The 26,172-nt window shown below is 45.6% G+C and overlaps 2 protein-coding genes across 14 annotated transcripts in view, besides 5 other annotated features; one reads left to right on the top strand and one right to left on the bottom strand.

The window, feature by feature from the left end:
• Positions 1-2,766, bottom strand: part of DNAAF1 (dynein axonemal assembly factor 1) — a 32,613-nt gene extending 29,847 nt beyond the window's left edge. For 10 of the 11 annotated variants that reach the window (XM_011522854.4, XM_011522853.4, XM_011522855.4 and 7 more), the window contains exon 1: positions 2,510-2,766. In XM_011522854.4, the coding sequence (XP_011521156.1) occupies positions 2,510-2,633 (124 nt within the window). In that variant the 5' untranslated portion in view covers positions 2,634-2,766. Of the gene's footprint in view, positions 1-2,195; positions 2,307-2,509 lie in introns of those variants that run through there. The other variant, XM_017022919.2, reaches the window with a different exon arrangement.
• Positions 2,713-3,162: a silencer, noted in NCBI's record as "silent region_7780". NCBI's record gives its function as "represses an Ori minimal core promoter by ATAC-STARR-seq in GM12878 lymphoblastoid cells {active_cell/tissue: GM12878}" and the evidence as "EXISTENCE:reporter gene assay evidence [ECO:0000049][PMID:35858748]".
• On the top strand, positions 2,897-25,933 carry HSDL1 (hydroxysteroid dehydrogenase like 1). Of its 3 annotated transcripts, NM_001146051.2 has the most exons (7): positions 2,897-2,994; positions 12,469-12,530; positions 16,747-16,972; positions 17,643-17,737; positions 17,903-18,088; positions 18,299-18,526; positions 23,346-25,933. In NM_001146051.2, exons 3-7 carry the CDS (start codon positions 16,753-16,755, stop codon positions 23,442-23,444), a joined length of 828 nt encoding a protein of 275 aa, NP_001139523.1. In that variant the 5' UTR covers positions 2,897-2,994; positions 12,469-12,530; positions 16,747-16,752; the 3' UTR covers positions 23,445-25,933. The 3 variants fall into 3 exon arrangements, with proteins under 3 accessions (NP_001139523.1, NP_113651.4, XP_005256246.1); NM_031463.5 differs by having other exon boundaries at positions 17,643-18,088; XM_005256189.4 differs by lacking the exon at positions 2,897-2,994 and adding an exon at positions 7,817-8,851 and having other exon boundaries at positions 17,643-18,088.
• Positions 3,323-3,372: a silencer, noted in NCBI's record as "silent region_7779". NCBI's record gives its function as "represses an Ori minimal core promoter by ATAC-STARR-seq in GM12878 lymphoblastoid cells {active_cell/tissue: GM12878}" and the evidence as "EXISTENCE:reporter gene assay evidence [ECO:0000049][PMID:35858748]".
• Positions 3,423-3,472: a silencer, noted in NCBI's record as "silent region_7778". NCBI's record gives its function as "represses an Ori minimal core promoter by ATAC-STARR-seq in GM12878 lymphoblastoid cells {active_cell/tissue: GM12878}" and the evidence as "EXISTENCE:reporter gene assay evidence [ECO:0000049][PMID:35858748]".
• Positions 10,141-10,736: an enhancer, noted in NCBI's record as "H3K27ac-H3K4me1 hESC enhancer chr16:84170943-84171538 (GRCh37/hg19 assembly coordinates)". NCBI's record gives its function as "activates a minimal SCP1, AML or CMV promoter by ChIP-STARR-seq in primed H9 embryonic stem cells {active_cell/tissue: H9 hESC(primed)}" and the evidence as "EXISTENCE:reporter gene assay evidence [ECO:0000049][PMID:30033119]".
• Positions 11,931-12,528: an enhancer, noted in NCBI's record as "H3K27ac-H3K4me1 hESC enhancer chr16:84169151-84169748 (GRCh37/hg19 assembly coordinates)". NCBI's record gives its function as "activates a minimal SCP1, AML or CMV promoter by ChIP-STARR-seq in naive H9 embryonic stem cells {active_cell/tissue: H9 hESC(naive)}" and the evidence as "EXISTENCE:reporter gene assay evidence [ECO:0000049][PMID:30033119]".

Here is a 26,172-nt window from a genome sequence, read left to right as displayed (position 1 = left end):
TTTTTTTGGAGACCGTCTTGGTCTATCCCCCAGGTTGGAGTGCAGTGGCGGGATCTCAGCTCACTGCAACCTCCGCCTCCCGGGTTCAAGCGATTCTCATGCCTCAGCCTCCCAAGTAGCTAGGATTACCAGCGCCTGTCACCATGCCTAGCTAATTTTTTTGTATTTTTAGTAGAGACGGGGTTTCCCCATGTTGGCCAGGCTGTCCTCAAACTCCTGACCTCAGGTGACCCACCCGCCTTGGCCTTCCAAAGTGCTGGGATTACAGGCGTGAGCCACCGTGCCCACCCTTATTTATTTTTATTTTTTTTTTGGGGGGGGCTTATTTCTTTAATTAAAAAAGACTTCAAATAAATATGATAAAATGTTACTCATTTTCAATTCTTGCTGGCAAAACACGGGTATTTGTTTTAATGTTCTTTGTTCTTTTGTCTTTTAAAAAATTTCTGAAGCCAGGTGTAGTGGAGCATGCCTGTAGTCCCAGCTACTCAGGAGGCTGAGGCAGGAAGATCTAGCCTGGGTAACATAGTGAGATTCCATCTCTTAAAAAAAAAATCATAAAAAGGAAAATCACATGAAAAGAAACAAAAATAGTGAGAATATCTATGATAACAATAACATGAGCACATTCAAATGAATAATTTTTTTAAAGGTCATTCAAAATTGGCCAATTCAACCGCACTTAACTTTAAGAGCTGTTGTCTGCTGCTTTCTGTGTTTGTGTGGTCTATTGAACAAGACTAAAGGCTGTGCGTGTGGGGACTGGTTCTTAAACTCATCAATTTTGCATAGAATGCCCAGCCACAGGAAGCAACAGATAAATGTTTGTGGAAAAAATAAAGAATAAGCGCTCAATATATAAATATTAATATGTAATTAATAACAAGAGCTACCATTTAATAATGGCCCACTATATGCTGGGACATTTAATTATAATTCTCTCCTTATACTCCTGTATAATTATTCCAGCTTACAGATGAGGAGACTAAGGCTCCGAGAGGTTAAGCTCTGGGCCAACAGCCATAAAGCTGGCCAGCTGCTGAGCCTCAACTTGAACCCAGTGTCAATGGCTCCAAGACCAGTGTCTTTCCACTGAGTAATGCCAGTTCCCTATGGCTCCTCATACAAGGTTCATCTGGACAGTTGATGCTTAAGATATATTTGTTGCCTGGAACACAAATCAGCTGGTTTATTTGTTGCCTGCGTTCAGAAACTGGAACACAAATCAAGTGGTTTTTTAATGTAATCACTAAAAGGTTTCCTTTAGGGCACCAAGTCTAGTGGGAGCAGAAGCTGAAGCCAGGCTTCCTTCTTTCCTTTTTTTTTTTTGAGACGGAGTCTTGCTCCATTGCCCAGGCTGGGGTGCAGTGGTGTGATCTTGGCTCACTGCAGCCTCAGCCTCCCCCTTGGCTCACTGCAACCTCTGCCTCCGGGGTTCAGGGAATTCTCCTGCCTTAGCCTCCCAAGTAAGTGGAATTACAGGAGCACGTCACCACGCCCTGCTAATTTTTGTGTTTTTAGCAAAGACAGGGTTTCAATATGTTGGCCAGACTGGTCTCGAACTCCTGACTTCAGGTGACCCACCTGCCTCTGCCTCCCAAATTGCTGGGATTACAGGCGTGAGCCACCGTGCCTGGCCATGAAGGTTATCTTTCAAGTCCATTCTGGCAAACTTTGGTGAGGGGATCACACACTGACCCCAGAACCAAGTCTTCATTCGGACTCTCTACCCTAGGTCAGGCACTGGACTAGACTCCAAATTCAATCAAGATGTCTTGCCCTGACACAACATGCAGTCTGGAGGGAGAGAAAGCCTTTGATCTTACATAGTGATAGCAATAAAGGGACACATTTAAAGCATCAAAGTTGGGACCAGGGAGAATAGCGTGGTGGGTTAGGGCTGGGGCTCTGGAGACCCAGACTGTCTGGGCCTGAGTCTGGTGGGTTTTGTTTGCTTGTTTGTTTGTTTGTTTGTTTGAGACGGAGTCTCCCACTGTCGTCCGGGCTGGAATGCAATGGCGAGATCTTGGCTCACTGCAACCTCCGCCTCCCGGGTTCAAGCGATTCTCCTGCCTCAGCCTCCCAAGTAGCTGAGACTACAGGCGCCCGCCACCACGCCCAGCTCATTTTTTGTATTTTTAGTAGAGACAGGGTTTCACTATGTTGGCCAGGCTGGTCTCGAACTCCTGACTGACCTGATGATCCGCCCGCCTCGGCCTCCCAAAGTGCTGGAATTACAGGCGTTGAGCCACCGCACCCGGCCAAGTCTCTTCTGTCACTGACTAGCCGAGGGTTATCTGTTTGGTGCAAGTTTTGTAACCTCTTAAGTATGTTTCCTCCTCAGTACGAAATGGCGAGAGAAGCCCCTACTGCAGAGCGTTGCTTGCTACCATTATTATTATTGTTATTATTTGGCTGTGAAGATCGGGTATGTGGTGTGGGAAGGGGGCTGGAGCGCCTAGCCGTGTCTGCCCCTCGCCCACCGCCCTCCCTGGGGGGCAGTCGGCACCTTCCTTGCAGCCCCCTCGGCCTGCGCTCCCGTGGTCACCCGCAGACTCCTCCACGCCGGGCTCCTGCGCGCAATCCAGCTCTGCTGCACCACCTGTCGCAGGCTCCGAGGGCTCAGGGTGCATGTTTACTTCGGCGACACCGAACGCCCCGCAGCTTTGGGGGGCCCAGGTTCGCGGCGGACGTCGCTACGGCCCCAGCCCAGCCAGAGAGTACCCTCTTTCCTTCTTCGCCAGCCGCTGGCGCCCTAGTCTTTACAGCCCAACGCTTCCCCGGTCGCCCAGGCAACCGCTGCGCACGCGCACTCGGGACGGACCGGCGCGCTGGGGACGCCGGGGGGTGGGGGCGGGTCTGAGACGGCTCCGCCCCCGGCGCGTACGCGGGTCACGTGAGGGCGCGGCGCGGCAGCAGCTCCGGCGGCCGAGACGGGGGCGGCGGCCGCGCGGGTCTGGCGGGACCGGTTTGGAAGACTTTGCCGGCCTGCAGGTACCGCGCCCCCCGCGCCCTGGGCGCCCTCTCGCGGTCCTTTCGCCCCAGACCCCTCCTCGGTCCCCTCAGCGCCAGCCGGCTGCTTGGCGAGACCCCTCTGAGCTCTCACCACGCCCCCCAGGCCCCGGGCCCCCTCCGCTGCATCCGGCCCCGAAGCCCCTTGGCGCCCCTGACCCCAGGAAATCTTCGTCCCTCCGTCCCGTGAGACTCCTTCCTTCAGACCAAAAAGCCCCAGCCCCGCCCCTTCACATCTCAGAGCCCCCCTTCCCCCGGCTCCATCCTCACGCCCCCCGCCGCGGCGCTGCACCCCTGTTCTCTCTCTTCCCCCGGGCCTTGCCCCCCAAACCGCGAACCCCGTTGTCGCCGGCGCATGCCCTGCCCTCCCTGCAGCCTCTCACCCGGCTCCTCCCCCGAGCGGCCCCAGCAATCGCCTCCTTTGTCGGTGCTTCTTTATTCTCATTTCTGAACGATTTGGTTTGAGTTGTTGTTGCCGTGTTTTTCTAAAATGGAAATATGCAGCGGTCGTGGGTTCAGCCAGGATTTCCGAGTTTGCTCGTGTTGACTGGGCCTTGCCGGGTGCTGGAGGGGAAGGGCTGGGAAGAAGAACCAGGCAGGTCCCCGTTCTGAACGTGCCACCCAGACGCAGCCCCAGAAACCGGATCGCTGCAGCGCCCCTCGGCGATCCCAACATGATGTGTACAGGTGACTGCGAGGCAGTCGGGGGGTCTCACAGTGGGCTCCCTGGACAGGACTCTGCGCCTTGCTATACCTCCATCTGAATTGCAGGTAGCCCCTTTCTGAGTTGTGGGGTCTTGGGTGTGCGACTTTACATCTATAAGACTCAATTTCCCCATCTATAAACGGGAGAGTCTGACTGCGCTTTATAAGATTAATGAGAGAATAAAGTGAGACAATAGGAATAAAGCACTTAGCAGAGTCTTTTGCATAAAGTGAGCTCTCAATTTTACTCTGACCGCCACAGGAGAGAGAGAGAGAGAGAGAGGGAGGGAGGGAGAGGGAGAGGGAGGGGGAGGGGGAGGGTGTTGATTGATTGATTGATTCAGACAATCTCGCTCTGTCGCCCGGGCTGTAGTGCAATGGTGCCTGCGATCTCAGCTCCTGCTACCTCTGCCCGCCATCCCGCACCCCGGGCCCAAGTGATTCTCCTGCCTCAGCCTTCCGAGTAGCTGGGATTACAGGCACGTTCTACCACACCCAGCTAATTTTTTTTTTTTTTTTTTTAGTAGAGACGGGGTTTCGCTGTGTTGGTCAGGGTAGCCTTGAACTCCTGGCCTCAAGTGATCTGCCCGCCTTGGCCTCCCAAAGTTCTGGGGTTACAGACATGAGCCACTGTACCCGGCCAAGTTTGTGGTTTTAATCACTGCTGGAATATTCTAGGGCAACAGAGTTGAACATATTGGTGCTACTTTTTTTTAAAGTAGGTTTTCAAAAATCGAAATGACTTACGCATGACATAAAATTTATCATTTTAGCCATTTTACAGTGTATAACTCAGTAGTTCTTGCTATAGTCACAATGCTATGCAACCATCACCAGTAACTAATTCCAGAACATTTAATCACCTACAAAAGAAACCCCAACCCCATTAACAGTCATACCTCTTTTCTCCCCCTGTCCCTCAGCAGCCCTAAGTTATCTTCTGTCTCTATGGATTTGCTTATGCTGGACATTTCATACAAGTGGAAACATACAACATACGGCCTTTTGTATTTGGTTTCTGTCCTTTAGCATAATGTTTTCAAAGTTTATCCATGTTGTAGTATGTATCAGTACTTCATGCTTTTTTATGGCTGAATAATACTCCTTTGTGTGGATAACACCACATTTTGCTTATTCATTCATTTGTTGATGGACATTTTGTTTGTTTCTGCCTTCTGGCAGTTGTGAGTAGGCCACTGTGAACATGCAAGCAGGAGTTTTTATGTGAGCAAAAGTTTCTAATTATCTTGGGTATCTGCCTAGGAGTGGGGTACTCTGAATATTTTAATTCTTACTGCATAAATACAGACATGATGGTGAAGAGTGTTGGATCTTGGATGAGAATCCAGGTTTCTAATTCCATGTTGCTGCTCTTTAGGCTCAGCTTCATTGTGCGTTTAGTCCTATACCAAAAATTGGCAGTGAAGGTAAAGACATCCCAAAAAGTCTTGATACACCAATGCTAACTTTGTCATAGTGCTGACGCAGAGTATGAAAAGCTTAAGTTTTTTTCTCAAGAGTGAAATTTGAGCTTTGAACACAAAGCAGTATTTGATTCTGTTTATTAAATAAAGTTGTCTACAGCAGCATGTCAGGTGCTGAGGAGGAATATTAAAGATGTGTGAGATCCGGCCGGTCACATCCCAGTGCTTTGGGAGGCCAAAGTGGGCGGATCACAAGGTCAGGAGTTCAAGACCAGCCTGGCCAATATGGTGAAACCCCCGTCTCTACTAAAAAAGAAAAAAATACAAAAATTAGCCAGGCATGGTGGCACACGCCTGTAGTCCCAGTTACTTGGGAGGCTGAGGCAGAAGAATTGCTTGAACTTGGAAGGAGGAGGTTGCAGTGAGCTAAGATCGCGCCATTGCACTCCAGCCTGGGTGACAGAGTGAGACTCTGTCTCAAAAAAAAAAAAAAAAAAAAAAAGATGTGTGAGATCCCAGCCTCACACCATCACAAAACGCCAGGAGGATTAAAGACTTAAACTGAAAAAGCAAAAATGTAAAATTTCTAGAAAATAATTCGAAAAAATTTCTTCATGACCTGAGGCTAAGGAGGGATTTCTGAAATAAAACAAACCCTAAAGCAGAAAGATTGATATATTTGTCTCTTTCAAAATTAAGACATTCAGCCAGGTGCAGTGGCTCCCACCTGTAATCCCAGCACTTTGGGAGGCCAAGGCAGGTGAATGGTTTGAGCTTACGAGTTTGAGACCAGCCTGGGCAACATGGTGAAACCTCATCTCTACACACACAAAAAAAATTTAACTGGGCTTGGTGGTACATGCCTGTGTCCCAGCTACTTGAGATGCTGAGGTGGGAGGATGGCTTGAGCCCGGAAGGCGGAGGTTGCAGTGAGCTGTGATCATGCCACTGCACATCAGGCTGGGCAATAGAGCCAGACCTTGTCTCAATAATAATAACAACACATTTAGTTCATGAAAGACACTATAATGAGACACAAAACATACAGAGAGCTAGTATCTAGAATATTTAAAGAATTCTTACAATTCTGAGAGAAAAAAAAGGAAAGGACAAAAGATAGGAACGGGCATTTCATAGATTACAAAACACAGAAAGCACATACATATAAAAAGGACTGCAGCCTTACTAGTAACCAGGGAAATGTAAATTAAAACCATAATGAGATACCATTTCACAGCCACCCTGTTGGCAGAAGGTGAAGCTTTGGACGCTACCAGCCAGTGACATTGAGGAGTGGCACGAACCTGCTGCTGGCGGGAGTGTGAATGGGTTCTGCCGCTTTGCAAAAGCATTTGGCAGTGGAATGCATGTGGACCAGCAGTTAAACCATGGGCAAATCCCTTTGCGAACTCTTGCACAGGTGTGCAGGAGATGGGGACAAGCGCTCCCTGCAGCACTGTTCCTAACTGTAAATCAAAACCAGCAGAAACAGTGCACGTGCCTAGCACCAGCAGCAGGGGGACCTGTGAATCGTGGTGTATCTGAACCAGCAGCAGGGGGACCTGTGAATCGTGGTGTATCTGAACCAGCAGCAGGGGGACCTGTGAATCGTGGTGTATCTGAACCAGCAGCAGGGGGACCTGTGAACTGCAGTGCATCTGAACCGTGAGATACTGTGCAGCTGCCGAGGAGGATGGACTATATAGCTGCAGGGGCATGGATGAGTCTCGGGAATGATGTTGAGTGAAAGAAACAAGTCACCAAAGGGTCCATGTGGTGTGGTTCCTTTATGTGAGGTTCAAAACCAGGCGAAACTTAGCAATACTGTTTTTTTTTTTGTTTGAGACGGAGTCTCGTTCTGTCGCCCAGGCGGGAGTGCTGTGGCGCGATCTCCGCTCACTGCAAGCTCCGCCTTCCGGGTTCACGCCATTCTCCTGCCTCAGCCTCCCGAGTAGCTGGGACTACAGGCGCCCACCACTGCGCCCGGCTAATTTTTTGTATTTTTAGTAGAGACGGGGTTTCACCGTGGTCTCGATCTCCTGACCTCGTGATCCGCCCGCCTCGGCCTCCCAAAGTGCTGGGATTACAGGCGTGAGCCACCGCGCCCGGCCAGCAATACTGTTACTGTTTCAGAATACATGCTTGGGGTATACAGCTGTTTTGTTAAAAGAGTCAGGGAGTGACTACCCCAGAATTTAGGAGAGAGGCTGCCTCCAGGATAGAGGAGGGGCTGTAATCAGAGGAACAGCATACAGGACTTCCACGACACTGGTTTTGTTAAGTAGGCTGGTGGCTAAGTGGCTGTTTTATTATTCTTTGAACTGTGCATAATAGGTTTTACATACTTTTGTATATATTTAAACATTTTTGCCAGGTGCAGTGGCTCACGCCTGTAATCCCAGCACTTTGGGAGGCCGAGGTGGGTGGATCACTTGAGGTCAGGAGTTCAAGACCAGCCTGACCACCATGATGAAACCCCATCTCTACTAAAAATACAAAAATTAGCTGGGCATGGTGGAGGGCACCTGTAGTCCCAGCTACTCGGGAGGCTGAGGCAGGAGAAACGCTTGAACCCAGGAGGCGGAGGTTGCAGTGAGCAGAAATTGCACCATTGCACTCCAGCCTGGAAGACAGAACAAGACTCGGCCTAAAAACAAAAATTTCTTTTAGTTACAGAAAAATTCGTTTTCTATACATCTCCTGCCCTCCAGAGGCCTGTGCTCTCCTTGGACAACCAAGAAACCAAGATATAAGCAAGTTGAGTGTTTAAATAGAATCCAAAGCAGTGTGTGCTAAGTGCCACATGGGTAAGAGAGGTGGAGAGGAATTCAGAGGTGGGGGCAGTGCCACGGCCTGGGAAGGGAAGGGACAGGAAGGGAAGTTTCTCCCCAGGGCTGACATGTTGTTGGTGCTTGTTAGGAAGTGATTGAACGGAGGAGAAGACATGGGACTTGAAACGTCAGGAAGAACAGAGGATTTGGAGTACTGAGCACAAGACAGATTCACACTCTGAAAAAATTAAGATTTATTTGGAAAAATGTTTTCATCAATGAAAACAGCCATCGCCCTGGAGCCTTACTGAAAAGCTGGATAATCCCAGCTGGTGAGGAGGAGGACCTCAGGTCTACCCTGGTCAGTCAAAGATGGCAGGAACCTCTGAGACTTTCTGGCTCCTGAATACACATAGTGGTTTTGGCTTAAGGGAGGTTGCAGAGTTTTCAGCTTGTCTCTTCGCTGTCCTGAAAGCTGAACTGACTGTTCATCCATCCCTTCCTCCCACTGTTTATCCTTATCCCCTGTGGCTGATGTAACAAATTGCCACAAAGGTAGTGGCTTAAAATGACACAGATGTCTCTTCCTTCTGGAGATGGGAATCTGAAGTCATTGTGACTGCGCTAAAGTCAAGGTGTCAGCAGGGCTGTGTTCCTCTGGAGGCTCCAGGGGAGAATCCTTTTCCTTGCCTCTGCCAGCTTCTAGAGGCCACCCCCCGTCCTTCACTGGTGACCCACCCCTCTCTCTATTATCGAAACCAGCAGCACAGAGCACCCTCAACTCGAGCTCTCTCTGACCTCTCCCTTTGTAGTCACATGGCTCTCTCTCTTTGATCTTCCTGCCCCCCTTACAAGGACACATGATGACATTGGACCCACCCTCCCCAGCTCGGAGTCTTTAACTCAGTCACATCTACGGAGTCCCTTTGGCCACATAAGGTGACGTATTTACAGGGTCTGGGGATTAGGCTGTAGATATCCCTGGAGGCCATTACTGTGCCCACCACACTGTCGTTCGCTAATGCTTTGATTGTCTTTTTTTCCATCCTGCTTGCTTTGTCTTCTTTAAAACCCTGGCCAGTCTGCCTTGTGTTCTTTCACCACCCGCCCCACGTCACACGCATTTGGATAGCTTGGTAATGTCCATGTTTCAGCCAAGACTTTCCTCCCAGAACTCTTGGTACATGAAGGTTTTTCTATTTGAGTTGATTGCCCTTTACACTGCTAGGTGGAGTCCCCTTCACTGTGGAGTGGGATCATGTTACAGGCCACAGCAGTGGTGCTTTGAAGAGGTGACTTTGCTACTTGCAGTTTTGACCATAATTGTCCCGTGACGCTTTTGTAGTTGTAACGTTTCCTGTAGGTTTTTGATGACTCCTGCCCTGTAGAAGTAGAAAATGCTTAAAAGATAATAGGGACTTGCTCTTCTTTTCCTAGTTTGGGGACAGTTGTGGTTTTGTTTTGTTCACAGATGTTTTAGTTTTCTGCAGAGATGAGAAAACAAAGCTTAAAAATTTTTTTAAATTATTTTATATTTTTCCAACTTCATCGAAGTATAATTGACAAATAAAATTATATAAATTTAAGGTGTACAACATGATTTGATATATGTATACTTTGTGAAATGATCACCACAACCAAATTAGTTAACACATTCATCACCTCAGTTACTTTTTTATTTCTTTATGGTGAGAACACTTGAGATCTACCCTCTAAGCAGATTTTAAGCCTACAATTTGGTATTGCTCACTATGGTCACTGTACTGTACATTAGCTCTCCAGACGTATGCATTTTATATTTGAAAGTTTATACCCCTTTGACCAAAACTTCCCACCCATGACCCCACCTCTAGCAACCACCATTCTACTCTCTGTTTAAGAAAATAAAGCTTTAGAATAAGTTCTTGCAGGTAGATTGTACATGAATCAGAATTTTACTGTGTTTTAGTATTGCTTTCCACATCATGGGTTTCTCTAGGTTGCAGGCTGCCTTAGTTGGTTTTGAGCTGCTATAACAAAATACCATGAACTGGGTGGCTTGGAAACAGCAAACACTTACTTTTCGCAGTTTGGGAGGCTGAATGGTCCAAGATCAAGGTGGTGGAGCCCTCATTATCTGATCGCCTCCCAAAGGCCCTCCCTTCTAAACCATCACCTGGGGGGTTAAGATTCAAGACAAGAATCAGGGAGTGGGGCGGAACGCTCAGACCGTAGCACAGGTTAATAGCTTTCGCTAATCAAGCCACAAAACAGTAACTAGTCAGATACCTAAAGTAACTTTGACGAGGCTTGTTATCTACATATGCCTAAGTGGACTTCTAGGCTTAAATGTGTGATAAATTCCTTTGAAAGTTTCAGTGAGAGGCTATGAGCTTTTGAAATTTGGTGGCTCTGGGGAAAGTACTGATTTCTTTTGTCATGAGAAAAATGTTATTTTCCATCATGTACAGAAGGGTGGGGAAGAAGATTGAGAGCAGGGAATGAGTTTTAATTTCCAGTTCTCTAACATCTTTGGCCCATCAGGGTGTGAGTGAATGTGTGAAGTGTCTGGCAAGGCTGAGGAGCAGCAGAGGCCACAGAGCCTTGGCTCTCCGTGTGGCCCTCCTTCATCCCCAGCTGAGTAACCAGGGCTCAGGAGCCCCCCTCCTCCCCTGCTGCGTTACCTTCCTAAACAAGCCCCACCAGCTCCCTCCCTTGGTGCTCAAGGAGGAGGTCCATGCACTCCAGTCTGGCGTGAAGGCATCTCCAGTCTGCCTCTCCCAGTCTCCTTCACGCCTGTGCGCCTGCACACATGGGGCGTCACACAGGACAGCACAGCCTGTGCTGTGCATGCGGGGGACTTCCTAATGTTTCCCGAGTAGGCCAGACCCTTGACGGTGCCGAGCCTTTCTCCATGGGCCCGGGCCAGGGAGGTCCCTTCCCTCCTCTCTGCCCAGAAATTCTGCTCACACTTCAAGACCCATTTCACCCCAGTGGCGCCCTTGCCACCTCATGTTGCAGTTGCTCCGTTTATCTTTCTCTGACTTCTGTGTATACCGGGTGGCACGGAGTCCTGGTTTATTCATGATGGTGTCCTCAGTCTCTGACACTTTGTATTTTTCATTGCTGTTCTAGAAGTTTGGTTTTCCATGTAGATCTCGAGAGACTGTAGGACCAGTGACCGTGTGTGTTTAGGCCTCTTCGCTGTGTTGTTCACTATCCATTCCTAACTTGGCATTTGAATGTATCAGTCTTCTGTGGGTTTTGTGGATGTGAGTCAGATTTCTTTGTCTTGAGCTGCCTCTAAGGAATGAAGAACTTGGGTTTCTATCCATCAAGGCTGAGGACCAGACCTTGAATGCCATCAGCCCCCCTGATGCTCTGTGATTTTTAAAATATACATAGCAACAATAATATTAACACACGTTTAAGGTACTTGCACACGATGGCGCTCCCCTGACAAGAGGTGAGGGGTGTCTAGTGGGGGCGTTGAGAAGCTGGGCCATGATGGGCTTGAAGCCCCTCAGCCCCAGGTTCCTGTACTCACCTCTGCAGTGGGTGCATCTCCTCTGCTGGCCTGAGTGGGAGGTCCCTGGTGGGTTTAGCACACAAGCTTTTCTTTCTGTAAAGGATCAAAGGAATTTGTGGGTGGTCCGCTCCTGAGCTGAGGGCTGAGCGCTGGACAGGAAGACTGCCTGTGAGCTGCAGCCAGAGACTTGGTAGTGTTGAGCTTCTTTGTGCCAGGAATTGTGGAAGGTGCTGGAGAAACAGAGAGGAGTAGAATCTGGCCTCTGCCCTGGAGGACTATAGCCTGCTGGGGTGGTCAGAGACAGAACAGTTGCAATGCAGTGTGTGTGGTGGAGGAGAGGGAAAATGTGGACCAGGGGTTTCCTTTCATTTCCTCCTTAAAGCATCTGACCCACTCACAGCCTAGGGGGGCTGCCCCCAAACACTGTAGGACGCCTTCCTCCCTGCCACCCTGCCAGGAGATTAGACAGGTGGTGGGCACCTGAACTAAGGTGGGCGAGCCAGAATCCCTGCCAGGAATTTGGAAAGAGAAGCCAGGGCAGCCCGTGGCAATGTGGATGTTCCAGGGAACGCTGCAGGTGGAGCTGAAGAAGGGGTGTGCAGAGTGAGGCAGTGGGAGGCCCAGGTGAAACCCAGACAGGCACCAGGCAGAAAAAGGCACCGAGGACAGCTGTGGCTGCTCTCTTCCCCGATGCCGGCCTGGTGCCTGGGCGGTGTTTCCCCAAGGGCTCCTGGGATTGGAATGGGCTTTTGTCCCATTTGATGAAATGTTCCCTAGGAAAAAAGGCATAGGAAAAGGGGGCACCCTCCAGCTGTGCCTGAGGACGCATGGACTGTGCCCCCAGCAGACGCCAGGCGCTTTTCTTATTCTGAGAGGAGGGTACTTGGTGCCTAGTACATGGTTTGCTGCCTCTACAGAGATTCATGGCGTAAGAATTGTTGTGTTTTCTTAATTTTTGAGCACTTGGATGTTACTTTAATGTAAAGTTTTCCCAGCTGAACTATGAGGAAGAGGAAAGGCATTTGTTTCTTGTTGGTTTTATTCACAGATTGGCCTTAAGAGAAGGACGGAGCCACATACTGCTGACGGCCCAGAACTGGCAGAGAGAAGGTAAGAGACCCCAGGGCAGGGAACGACCACAGCAGAAAAACTGGGGCCCCCTTTGTGGTCAGGCGCCTTTTGCTAGACATTTACTTCAAAAAGGTTCAGATTCTTGAAAAAAATCGGGCTTAAGGAGGAAGCTTCCATCTGTGTGGGTTCCTCCATGAGGCATGCCTGACCTCCTTTTTGTAGCGAGAGCCTTACTCTATAGGCTTGGAGCAACTCATTTCCCCACAAATACTGCTTTGGCTACAACCCATTGATCTTGATATGTAGTATCTGTTTTTTCTTTCTTTTTTTTTTTTTCTTTTTTCTTTTTTGAGACGGAGTCTCCCTCTGTCGTCCAGGCTGGAGTGCAGTGGCGCGATCTTGGCTCACTGCAAGCTCTGCCTCCCCGGTTCATGCCATTCTCCTGCCTCAGCCTCCTGAGTAGCTGGGACTACAGGTGCCCGCCACCACGCCCTGCTAATTTTTTGTATTTTTAGTAGAGACAGGGTTTCACCCTGTTGGCCAGGATGGTTTTGATCTCCTGACCTCGTGATCCGCCCGTCTCGGCCTCCCAAAGTGCTGGGACTACAGGCGCGAGCCACCGTGGCTGGCCTGTAGTATCTATTTTTTCATTGAAAACACTGTTTTAACAGCCTAGATGTATGCCTACCTGTTATTAGAAGAATAAGCTTAATATTCCAAGTGTCTAGGTTTCTTTAGTCATAGCTTGTTATTCCCAATTTTATTACATTTTGCTTGAGAGGTCCTGGTACATACAGGTAATTACATACAGGTAATTGTTTTTGCATTTACTTTCCTCATGGCCTTGTGTTTGATTAGTTATGACAAAAGGCACCCACACTTTTTATGAGTTATTTCCGGAACTCACAATTTAGGATGGTCTAACATAGAATCTCGGTTGTTTTTTTTGTTTGTTTTTTGGGGTTTTTCTTGAGATGGAGTCTAACTCTGTCGCCCAGGCTGGAGTGCAGTGGTGCAATCTTGGCTCACTGTTACTTCCGCCTGCTTGATTCAAGTGATTCTCCTTCCTCAGCCACCCAAGCTGGGCAGTCACCACCATACCCGGCTAATTTTTGTGTTTTTAGTAGAGATCAGGTTTCACCATGTTGGCCAGGCTGGTCTTGAACTCCTGACCTCAAGTGATCTGCCCACCTCGGCCTCCCAAAGTGCTGGGATTACAGGTGTGAGCCACCGTCCCTGGCTGGAATGTCAGTTTTTAATGTTCTTATAGGATATTAATGTTTTGGGCCTGTCTTTGGGAGTCCAGTACTTATGACTGTTCAAGGGCTACAGCCAGTGTGAAAACTCTGATACCGTGCCCGTCATCAGCATATCCAGCAGCAGGAGGGTTGTGGGAGGGGTGGTGGCGCGGCTTCCTCTCATGCAGATCTGGAAACAGGTATGCTCGTTCGCTACACTGAAGGGGGGGCCCTAACTTTGAATATATTTCAAAGGATTGTCAATCAAAGGATTTGGGAGCAGTAAGGGGTATTGGTGACTGCTGTACGGAAGATTGCTCAGAAAAAAGAAAGACTTTGTTGAACTAGACAGCTCATATTTTAGGTCATCTCAGCCAATCTGGTTCATAAAGAAAAATTACCCCAAAGGAGCATTTATTTTAGTTGTTTTTAGCTTAAGTATTTGGTTTATGTACTTAGTCAAATTTAAAATGTTTCCTTTTCATGATGAACTTTGGCATTCTCATTGTGGGAGGTGAGTTTCTGTGCACAGAGCCCCAGTGGACAGCATTTTACCTGTAGGGAATAAAGGGGCCCAACTTTTCATTTGAGGAAAACTTTTTTGTTTGTTTGTTTCGAGATGGAGTCTCACTCTGTCGCCCAGGCTGGAGCGCAGTGGCATGATCTCGGCTCACTGTAACTTCCTCCTCCCGGGTTCAAGCAGTTCTGTGCCTCAGCCTCCCAAGTAGCTGGGATTACATGTGCCCACCACCATGCCCAGCTAATTTTTGTATTTTTAATAGAGACGAGGTTTCACCATCTTGGCCAGACTGGTCTTGAACTCCTGACCACCTGCCTTGGCCTCCCAAAGTGCTGGGATTATAGGCATGAGCCACCGCGCCCGGCTGAGGAAAACATTTTTTAAACTTAATGCCACATTGGCTTAATTTGGTAACTTAATATAGCAGCAATATCAACTTAATACGGTACCAGTATGAAACTTTCTTTTTTAGAGAGATTGTTTCCTTATCGTAGGGCATTTAGGAATCCTACTGCTTCTCCATTTCTTCAGTTTTCAGTCATATTTCTTGTGTACGTTTTGTTGATTTGTAATTCACACTACACATTTATATATATTTATTCAATAGTTTTAAAATTATTTTATATGCCTTTTATCACAATATGGTGCCATTCTTGTATGTGTTCCGTTTCAGTGGTTCATTTGTTTTCTTCTGCTTGGTTCCTTTTTTACTTTGCAAAACTTTGTTGAGCTCAGATTACACTGCAGTGGAGTAGGAGGGAATTCCCCATTCTTTCTCAAACTTAGGCTAATTTGTGCTGCTATTGTTGGGTATTTTCTTAGTATCCAGACTTTTTTTTTTTTTTCTATTTTAAAGGGATTTCTTCAAAAGTTGCCACCCCCAGAAGTTTTATATTTCTTTTTCTTTTGGCTTAAAATCATGTTCTTTTTAGAATATAAGCTGTGTCCTTGGGTTTGTGTGTATCTGAGTTCCCTGTAATATAAGTGTAGTCTATTGCAGTTGTTTTGATATTTTGTCTTTCGCAGGATGCACACGGTTGGTTTAGCCTGATATGAAGTCCACTCACTCGGTCTGTGGCCAGACCCCCCATGCCTGGCCTTTGTCTACTTCTGCAGGGTTATCTCTGATTGCAGGCACACACCTACCACATCATGTGGCATTTTACATTATTTTGTTAAATGTCTGCGTCTTCACCTAGGGACGGTCATTTAGTTCATCTGTGAATCCTTTGAATCACAGTACATAGAACATAGTAGGTGCTTAGTATATACTTGCTATGTGGACACTCAACAGAGTTGTGTTGGACTTTTCTTTCCTCAAATGTAAGAGACCAGGCAACATAATGGTTACAAATTAAGTTAGAAGATGGAGGAGTGCTCCCTCTATTGTCATTTGAGAAGCCATTTTTCCAAGCTTGGAGGGTATCTCTTTAAAAAAAATTTTTTTTTTAATTGATGTAAAGGTTTTTGAAAGCTGAGTTTTGTCTCCAGTGGATTGTAAGCTTTTGAGGCCAAGGCCATGTCTTAGTGCCACCTCTGTTTCATCTCCTTTGTCCCTACACAGGTAGTAGGTCCTCCATTCTTGCTGATTATGAATAAAGCAAAGAAATACATGTACCTCTGCTGTATGAATTAGAAGCTTTGTGTTTGTTATTATTAGACTAGGAGCATGTTACAGGCACAGAGCATATTGTGTTTATCTCTGTAGCCACAGCATGTAGTGTAGTACCTGAATTTTAGTGGGAATTTGGTAACTTCTGGTAGTTATGTTGATTAGTCTCCTTGGAAGAAAGTAACTTTATAAGCTACGGATGTTAAATGGTGAGATCATAAATTGGCTGAATCTCCAGGCATGGTGGCTCACACCTGTAATCCCAGCACTTTGGGAGGCCAAGGGTGGCGGATCACCTGAGGTCAGGAGTTTGAGACCATCCTGGCTAACGCGGTGAAACCCTGTCTCTACTAAAAATACAAAAAATTAGCCGGGCGAGGTGGCGGGCGCCTGTAGTCCCAGCTACTCCGGAGGCTGAGGCAGGAGAATGGCGTGAACCCCAGGGGGCGGAGCCTGCAGTGAGCCGAGATTGCGCCACTGCACTCCAGCCTGGGCGACAGCGAGACTCCGTCTCAAAAAAAAAAAAAAAAATTAGCCGGGCGTGGTGGCATGTGCCTGTAGTCCCAGCTACTTGGGAGGCTGAGGCAGGAGAATCGCTTGAACCCGGGAGGTGGAGGTTGCAGTGAGCCAAAATCGCACCACTGCACTCCAGCCTGGGCGACAGGGTGAGACTCTGTCTGATAGATAGATAGATAGATAGATAGATAGATAGATAGATAGATAGATAGACTGAAACTGTGAGCCACGTACATTTGAAAAGTTAGTGTTATTTGAACGTACAATTGACAAGATCTGATGCCCTCAGCTGGATGTCTTCACTCAGACTGTGTATGTTCCTTTAATTTATTAATCAAAGAGGCTCTCTCTCTTTCCCTCTCCCTGCAGGTTGCCATGGCTGCTGTTGACAGTTTCTACCTCTTGTACAGGGAAATCGCCAGGTCTTGCAATTGCTATATGGAAGCTCTAGCTTTGGTTGGAGCCTGGTATACGGCCAGAAAAAGCATCACTGTCATCTGTGACTTTTACAGCCTGATCAGGCTGCATTTTATCCCCCGCCTGGGGAGCAGAGCAGACTTGATCAAGCAGTATGGAAGATGGGCCGTTGTCAGCGGTAACCTACTTTATAATCAAAATAATCTTTTCTGTGAAGTCGGATGCATTATTCAAGGAGCTATTGAATTTAATGTGGTGTTTTTATGGGAACATGCTGATAAAAAAATAAAACTTATGGCTCCTGCCGTGATTATGTTCACATTTCATTTTCTTACTGCTCTCATCTTAGGAAGAACTGGCCTCATGATTGGTATCCTTCCTATTCTGCTCTCTCCTGTTCCCAGTCCTCCTCCAGACCCACTTCCTACTATGTGCTTTTCCTTTTTGTTCTCTGTTTTAAAATTGTCTTGAAAGTGTTGCCACTTTCAGAAATGCTTCACCTATTTTGAATTTCATTTTAATTTATGAAGATTTCCCAGAAAAGCACCTCCTGCCACTCATTCAAGCCAGATAGTAGTTTGAAAACAAATTCCTACTGTGTCTCCTAACCAATATGGTGAATGTAAAATAACTCCCTGTCCGTGTGTCAGGATGTCTGGGAGAGTGTATAGCATGCGCCCTTCACATTCCTCATTCAGCAACAGTGTCCTTGACTTGTAGATACTAGAACCGACTTGATTTCTAGTGTGAATTTTTCTCTGACTAAACCTGACAGGGGGTACTTTGGGTCCATTTTAAGGGTCACACCGTGAAATACACATGCTCACTTTTCCTGACTTGCATCCTAGGTGCAACAGATGGGATTGGAAAAGCCTACGCTGAAGAGTTAGCAAGCCGAGGTCTCAATATAATCCTGATTAGTCGGAACGAGGAGAAGTTGCAGGTTGTTGCTAAAGACATAGCCGACACGTACAAAGTGGAAACTGATATTATAGTTGCGGACTTCAGCAGCGGTCGTGAGATCTACCTTCCAATTCGAGAAGCCCTGAAGGACAAAGACGTTGGCATCTTGGTAAATAACGTGGGTGTGTTTTATCCCTACCCGCAGTATTTCACTCAGCTGTCCGAGGACAAGCTCTGGGACATCATAAATGTGAACATTGCCGCCGCTAGTTTGATGGTCCATGTTGTGTTACCGGGAATGGTGGAGAGAAAGAAAGGTGCCATCGTCACGATCTCTTCTGGCTCCTGCTGCAAACCCACTCCTCAGCTGGCTGCATTTTCTGCTTCTAAGGTCAGATGTTACTTACTGGAAGATGAAATCCTAATGCCACAGAACATTTATTAACAGTTGTTTGGTCTGATTTGTTGAACTCTTTGTCAGCAACTCACATATGCTTATCCTGTATTTTTTCCTGAATTGATAATAAGCAAGTCTTTTTTTCTCCTGAATTTTCAAGTTCACCCAGAATTAAAAGTCTTTTCCTCCCCTCTGTCTCAACAGGCTTATTTAGACCACTTCAGCAGAGCCTTGCAATATGAATATGCCTCTAAAGGAATCTTTGTACAGAGTCTAATCCCTTTCTATGTAGCCACCAGCATGACAGCACCCAGCAACTTTCTGCACAGGTGCTCGTGGTTGGTGCCTTCGCCAAAAGTCTATGCACATCATGCTGTTTCTACTCTTGGGATTTCCAAAAGGACCACAGGATATTGGTCCCATTCTATTCAGGTAGGAGTGTGCTTCAGGTCTCATAATTAGATTAATGCATCATGAACCTATCTCAGTGATACAGAGAAATCTGATTAAAGCCTAAGATGAGAATTGTAAATTCTGACTCTTAAGCCTGACACTTAATAATTTTGGTTAAGACACTAAATTTTCTTTCTTTTTTTTTTTGAGATGGAGTCTGGCTCTGTCACCCAGGCTGGAGTGCAGTGGTGCGATCTCAGCTCACTGCAAGCTCCGCCTCCCGGGTTCATGCCATTCTCCTGCCTCAGCTTCCCGAGTAGCTGGGACTACAGGCACCTGCCACCACGCCTGGCTAATTTTTGTATTTTTAGTAGAGACGGGGTTTCACCGTGTTAGCCAGGATGGTCTTGATCTCCGGCCTCATGATCTGCCTGCCTCAGCCTCCCAAAGTGCTGAGATTACAGGCGTGAGCCACCGTGCCTGACCAAAGACACTAAATTTTCTTTTGTGAAATTATTACCTTAAGAATTTTCAAAAGTTCAATCTATGTGGCACCTTAAAGTGAAATATACTACTTTGGCTGGGGTGTGGTGGCTCACATCTGTAATCCCAGCACTTTGGGAAGCTGAGGTGGGTGGATCACCTAAGGTCAGGAGTTCGAGACCAACCTGGCCAATATGGTGAAACCCTGTCTGTACTAAAAATACAAAAATTAGCTAGGCTTAGTGGTGTGTGCCTGTAGTCCCAGCTACTTGGGAGGCTGAGGCAGGAGAATCGCTTGAACCCTGGAGGCGGAGGTTGCAGTGAGCCAAGATCACGCTACTGCACTCCAGCCTAGGCGACAGAGCAAGGCTCTGTTTCCAAAAAAAAAAAAAGAAATATGCTGCTGTAAGTGGATGTTAGGACTATAAAAATACTAAGTATTTACATGGGAATTTCAAAGTAAAAGATTCTAGTACTGCTTGAGGGTTACCTCTCAGTGAAAAATATAATCCAAAAAAACCACAAAACCACAAGATAGGGCTATATTTCATGCAACCATTTTATCAAATAATATCTCTGTATAGTCTTAGACTAATTTTTTCAAGAAGCATAGAATTTTTATTTTAAGCTTATTGTTTAGGCATGACAAAGGATTGGTACCTTTTAGTACTGTAGAAAGTAACTTTCTTAGATATTTGAAATTGTGATCGTAAGTATTAATTTGAGAATGCATAATTATCTATTACAATATATTTCAGTTCCTTTATCTGGTGTAGTAAAGAGATGTGCCCTAGTTTAGAATTTTTTTTTTTTTGAGATGGAATTCCGCTCTTGTTGCCCAGGCTGGAGTGTAATGGTGCGATCTTGGCTCACTGCAACCTCCACCTCTCGGGTTCAAGTGATGCTCCTGCCTCAGCCTCCGGAGTAGCTGGGACTACAGGTGCCTGCCACCACGCCCAGCAAATTTTTGTGTTTTTAGTAGAGATGGAGTTTCACCATGTTGGTCAGGCTGGTCTCGAACTCCTGATCTCAGGTGATCCACCCGCCTTGGCCTCCCAAAGTGCTGGGATTTACAAGCGTGAGCTGGCAGGGCGTGGTGGCTCAAGCCTGTAATCCCAGCACTTTGGGAGGCCAAGGCGGGCGGATCACGAGGTCAGGAGATCGAGACCATCCTGGCTAACACCGTGAAACCCCGTCTCTATTAAAAATACAAAAAAATTAGCTAGGCGTGGTGGTGGGCGCCTGTAGTCCCAGCTACTCAGGAGGCTGAGGCAGGAGAATGGCGTGAACCCGGGAGGCAGAGCTTGCAGTGAGCCGAGATCACACCACTGCACTCCAGCCTGGACGACAGAGCAAGACTCCGTCTCACAAAAAAAAAAAAAAAAAATACCAGTGTGAGTCACTGTACCTGGTCCGAATTTTTTTTTTTTTTTAATATTCGGAGTTTTCTTAATTATCAAACAGATATTTTTGGGACTGTTTGCATGAAGAGTATTAGATTTGCCACTACCAAATAAACATGTAAGTATATCAACAGTTAATTATGACTTTTATGAAAAGTGAGAGATTAATAAGAAGCAGTTTTGGTCGGGCGTGGTGGTGGCTCACATCTCTAATCCCAGCAGTTTGGGAGGCTGAGGCTGGTGGATCACCTGAGGTCAGGAGTTCGAGACCAGCCTTGCCAACATGGTGAAACCCCATCTCTACTAAAAATATAAAAATTAACTGGTCATGGTGGTGCACGCCTGTAGTCCCAGCTACCTGGGAGTCTGAGGCATGAGAATCGCTTGAACCCAGGATGCGGAGGTGGCAGTGAGCTGATCACGTCACTGTACTCCAGCCTGGGTGACAGAGCTAGACTCTTATCTCAAAAAAAAAAAAAAAAAAAAAAAAAGAAGAAACAGTTTTATTTAAGTAGTTGTTTCCAGGTCCTTTAATTACTTGAGAAAAGCAGAGAAACCTAAAAAGTAGTCTTAGAAGTCACTGACCATAAAATTTTTTTAGAAATAAAGATATGAGGATCAGGTTTAGGTGCAGTAGATGTTTTGACTGTGTTTATAAAACACGAACAGTTTACTCAAAATTAAATTTTGTTCACATTGATAAACTTTCCTTGAGAATGTATTTTTCTGCCAAGAAATTCTGTTAAGCTGATTTAATTCCTGGAGTAGTTTTCTGTATAAAGTTGTTAAAACTTTCTGTTTTCATTTTATGTTACTCAAATTATTTTCAACACTATCATTTTTTATTTCCAATTTTACATCAAAGATTTGATTCATCCTTTGCTGTTTTGTCCATGGCATATTTCTCTGATAGCTTTTGCTGCTGTGATTTTGTTCACAAAGTGCGTGAGTGTGTGTGTGTGTGGGTGTGGGTGTGTCCTCCCTGGAGAGTAACCTGTGTCCATTTATTGACAAGAGGATTGAATGACCTCTATTATCATTCATCAGTTCAGTTCAAGACTAGAATGTCAGTACTTGCCAAGGGCCTGTCTCTCTTCTCTTTCGTATACACGGTGTTAGAACTTTCATTCGGTTCTGAACAAATCTGTTAGAGGAGTGTAGGCTTTCTCCACCTCAGCACTGTTGGCATTGAGAGCAGGTAATTCCTTGACATGGGGAGCGTCCTGTGTATTGTAGGATGTTGAACACCATCCTGGGCCTCCACCCACTAGATACCAGTAGCATCCACTCCCAGTGTGACGACCAAATTTGTTTTCAGACATTGCCCTATGTCTGCTGCTAGCACAAAGGCCCTGAGTGAGACCCTGAAGCAGAGCAGCATCAGCAGGACTCCCTTCCCTGGTCCCCTGAGCACCCCCATCATAGGTCAAGATACCATCCCAAGGTACTGGTGTTTCTGACCTGTTTTCTTGTTGAACTTTGTTCCATACTACCCCTCAAGCCCCAGTTTTCTCATAGAGTACTAACCACGTATGCGTCTGTCTGTTCCAACTGATTTATTCCTATAATGATTTTGTGGTGTTTTTTTTTTTTTTTTTGAGACAGAGTTTTGCTCTGTTGCCCAGGCTGGAGTGCAGTGCCGCGATCTCGGCTCACTGCAAGCTCCGCCTCCCCGGTTCACACCATTTTCCTGCCTCTGCCTCCTGAGTAGCTGGGACTACAGGCTCCCGCCACCACGCCTGGCTAATTTTTTGTATTTTTAGTAGAGATGGGGTTTCACCCTGTTAGCCAGGATGGTCTCGATCTCCTGACCTCATGATCCACCCGCCTCGGCCTCCCAAAGTGTTGGGATTACAGGCATGAGCCAGCGTGCCCAGCCGATTTTGTGGTTCTTAACCAGTGAACATTTTGTTCATATCACGTTAAGTAAAGACAGAATTGTATTTACATGCAGGACAGTCCAGCCTCATTACAGAAAGTCGGGTAGGTGGGTGGTGGTCATGTTTCTGTTCCATGTAGAATCTAGGGTAAGATCTTAGGCAAAAGTAGGTATTCAGTACAGTAGTACCTGGAGGCTTTTTCCTTTGTTGTATTTAATGTGATTGGTGGGTATTTGTTGTGACTGGTGGGTATTTGTTGTGATTGATTGGTGGGTATTTGTTGTGATTGATCGGTGGGTATTTATTGTGATTGGTGGGTATTTGTTGGGATCGATTGGTGGGTATTTATTGTGATTGATTGGTGGGTATTGTGATTGGTGGGTATTTATTGTGATTGATTGGTGGGTAATGTGATTGGTGGGTATTTGTTGTGATTGATTGGTGGGTATTGTGATTGATTGGTGGGTGTTTGTGATTGGTAGGTATTTGTTGTGATTGATTGGTGGGTATTTGTTGTGATTGGTGGGTATTTGTTGTGACTGGTGGGTATTTGTTGTGATTGATTGGTGGGTATTTGTTGTGATTGGTGGGTATTTGTTGTGATTGGTGGGTATTTGTTGTGATTGGTGGGTATTTGTTGTGATTGATTGGTGGGTATTTGTTGTGATTGCTTGGTGGGTATTTGTTGTGATTGGTGGGTATTTGTTGTGATTGGTGGGTATTTGTTGTGATTGATTGGTGGGTATTTGTTGTGATTGCTTGGTGGGTATTTGTTGTGATTGGTGGGTATTTGTTTGATTGGTGGGTATTGTGATTGGTGGGTATTTGTTTGATTGGTGTGTATTGTGATTGGTGGGTATTTGTTATGATTGATTGGTGGGTATTTGTTGTGATTGGTGGGTATTTGTTGTGATTGGTGGGTATTTGTTGTGATTGATTGGTGGGTATTTGTTGTGATTGGTGGGTATTTGTTGTGATTGATTGGTGGGTATTTGTTGTGATTGGTGGGTTTCATGTGCTGGTCTGTGTACTTGTTCCTTCAGTGTTGATTTTGGGTTCTAACCTTACAACCTTTTTCTCTTTCATTTTTAGTTTCTTTTTGCACAGTATATGCCTGAATGGCTCTGGGTGTGGGGAGCAAATATTCTCAACCGTTCACTACGTAAGGAAGCCTTATCCTGCACAGCCTGAGTCTGGATGGCCACTTGAGAAGTTTTGCCAACTCCTGGGAACCTCGATATTCTGACATTTGGAAAAACACATTTAATTTATCTCCTGTGTTTCATTGCTGATTATTCAGCATACTGTTGATTCGTCATTTGCAAAACACACATAATACCGTCAGAGTGCTGTGAAAAACCTTAAGGGTGTGTGGATGGCACAGGATCAATAATGCCTGAGGCTGATTGACGACATCTACATTTCAGTGCTTTTTCCCTAAGCTGTTTGAAAGTTACGCTTTTCTGTTGTTCTAGAGCCACAGCAGTCTAATATTGAAATATAATATGATTTGTCAGGTCTTATAATTTCAGATGTTGTTTTTTAAGGGAAATTGACCATTTCACTAGAGGAGTTGTGCTGGTTTTTAAATGTGCATCAAGAAAGACTACTGAAAAGTATTATTTTGTAACTAAGATTGCTGGTACTATTAGGAAAAATCTGTGTGTATTGTATAGCTCTAGCTGTTTGACTATCTGTAATGAAAATGCTGCACTTCAACTGGTATTTCATTAGAGAACCGTGTGTGTGCGTGTGTGTGGTGCCTTTGAGCAACTTTATTTATGGTTACCATATTTTTAAAAAGATTTTTTGTCAGGGTGACTTAACATGGACTCTTATAGGGTATTAAAACAATCTAGATTATTCCTTTTCATCCTAAATAAGCCTACCAAATTTCATGCTGTTGGTTTGCCATGAATGATATTACTTCCTACATTATATTTGTGTTTTTTCAAATCTGCTATGGAATGAACTTATTCCTAGATTTGGATATGTAAGAGAAACCTGCAGTCATCTTTTGATTTATAAGGCAATTCTTGTGGATAAATAGTGATTTCTCAGCCTCTGACCCATTTTATAACTGAAATTTAGCCCTTTAGAGCTTGTTATATCTGGTTTTCCTACGTTTTTCTATGTAATATTATTCCATTCCAGTAGCATTATTGATAGAAATAGTAAGTATTTATGGAATAGTAAAATATGGACAAATTACGTGTGTGACATATCTGTCAATATAAGTTAGAAGCTTATTCTTGGTTTGTGTAATGAATTTATGTATTGTAGTGAATACCTTTACTGGTGTGAAGATAATTATGCACAAACCCTCACAATACGCGTTAACATTGAAACCTGTGAAATGTCCTTAGTTTGGGTCATATAAAGCCAACCATTTTTGAGGACCATGTACCTAGTGCTTTGAAAACTCTAAGTCACTATATGAATATGACAATATGTGCACATTTAAAATTCAGAGCTCGGCATTGTGATACTGATGCAGAAGCTAGTAGATTGGTTAAAAGTCTGGACTTCTGTGGCATTTTTTTCGTGACGTGATAATCTATCATAAGCAGACCTAAGCACAGTTTTATGAACACAATTTTGCCCATGACATTGCCTACAGGATTTCCAGATGTGACTTGCACTCAGAAGATCAGTGGTCAACTTCAGAAGCTCTTCCACGCTTAGATCATGTCTTCAGAACTTAGATGTGAAAATCTACACACTGGGAGATGCTGTGAGCCCCAAGGTTTTGATGGAGTTTGCTTGGAATCCTCTTGACTTCATGCCACATTGACGTGAACTTTGATGTATAATAAGCAGCAGCAACTTCATGTGAAAATATGGTCAGGTAGTTATATGTAAGGTTACGTGGTCCAGTAATGTCTTAGATTGATAAATTAGGTATGGAATCCATCAGTGTTACGTGATGAGAATAGGTGAACACACCTTGTCAGTGATGATGTAAACTTCTCTCCTTGGCAGGACATGGGCAAACATGCTGATTGGTGCAAATGTGGTGCCGAGCTGTCCATAGCTGCAGTGAAAGATGAAGAGCAAGACCTTCTCTAGGTTTTCTAGCTTTCATTAAATGTATTTTTTTCCCCAGAGCTAATTTGAAAGTTGATTGGACCACTGTGGATGGGGTGTCATTAAGAATGTGGGAAATAGGGGCCGAGTGCGGTGGCTCACACCTGTAATCCCAGCAGTTTGGAAGGCCAGGGCAGGTGGATCGCTTGATCCCAGGAGGTCGAGACCAGCCTGGGGAACACATCCTGTCTCTACAAAAAATACAAAAATTAGCCAGGCAGGGTGGTGCATGCCTGTAGTCCCAGCTACTTGGGAGGCTGAGGCAGGAGAATTTTTTGAGCCCAGGATGCAGAGGTTGAAGTGAGCCAAGATCGTGCCACTGCACTCCAGCCTTGAGACAGAGCGAGACCCTGTCTCAAAAAAAAAAAAAGAACGTGGGAAATATGAACCTTTGAAAGTTAATCTGTGAATTGAAAGTTTAACAATAAAAGTAGTTGTTTGTTTCCTTTGGAAGAGTTTTGTTCCAGATGTTTGTAATTTGGTTGTTTGTAATTTGGAATGAGAGAATTTTTTTTTCTTAGGAGTGATTGCAAGAAATTAACATGAACAACAGTGGTCATAACTGATTAAAAGCTGACACGTCAGTAACAAAATTGTTTATAACTATGTGCCTAGTCTTTGGAAGCTACTGGGTTGACTTCTGGATCTCTTTCTCTTGGTAGGTTGAGTAAGGTGAGGATTGATTTGAGCATGGAATTTGGCTGTGTGGATGGAGATCATTGGTGATTTTTTTCCATGAGCCATTTCAGTCTTCAGGCTAGAATTGTAATGGATTCAAGAAAGAGTGGGAAGAAGAAAAAAAGGGAAGAGAGCAGATAGAGACAGCTCCTAG

The sequence above is a fragment of the Homo sapiens genome, chromosome 16, assembly GCF_000001405.40.
Source record: "Homo sapiens chromosome 16, GRCh38.p14 Primary Assembly".
NCBI classification, from domain to species: Eukaryota; Metazoa; Chordata; class Mammalia; order Primates; family Hominidae; genus Homo; species Homo sapiens.
The sequence above is the reverse complement of the archived record's forward strand: the minus strand, read 5'-3'. Positions and strand labels throughout refer to the sequence as shown.

Excerpts from the sequence above, each read along its gene's own strand:
- HSDL1 (NM_031463.5), top strand. The coding sequence starts at position 16,753 with ATGGCTGCTGTTGACAGTTTCTACCTCTTGTACAGGGAAATCGCCAGG. Across the intron at positions 16,973-17,642 it reads AAGATGGGCCGTTGTCAGCG|GTGCAACAGATGGGATTGGA; the intron begins GTAACCTACTTT and ends CTTGCATCCTAG. Across the intron at positions 18,527-23,345 it reads ATTGGTCCCATTCTATTCAG|TTTCTTTTTGCACAGTATAT; the intron begins GTAGGAGTGTGC and ends TTTCATTTTTAG.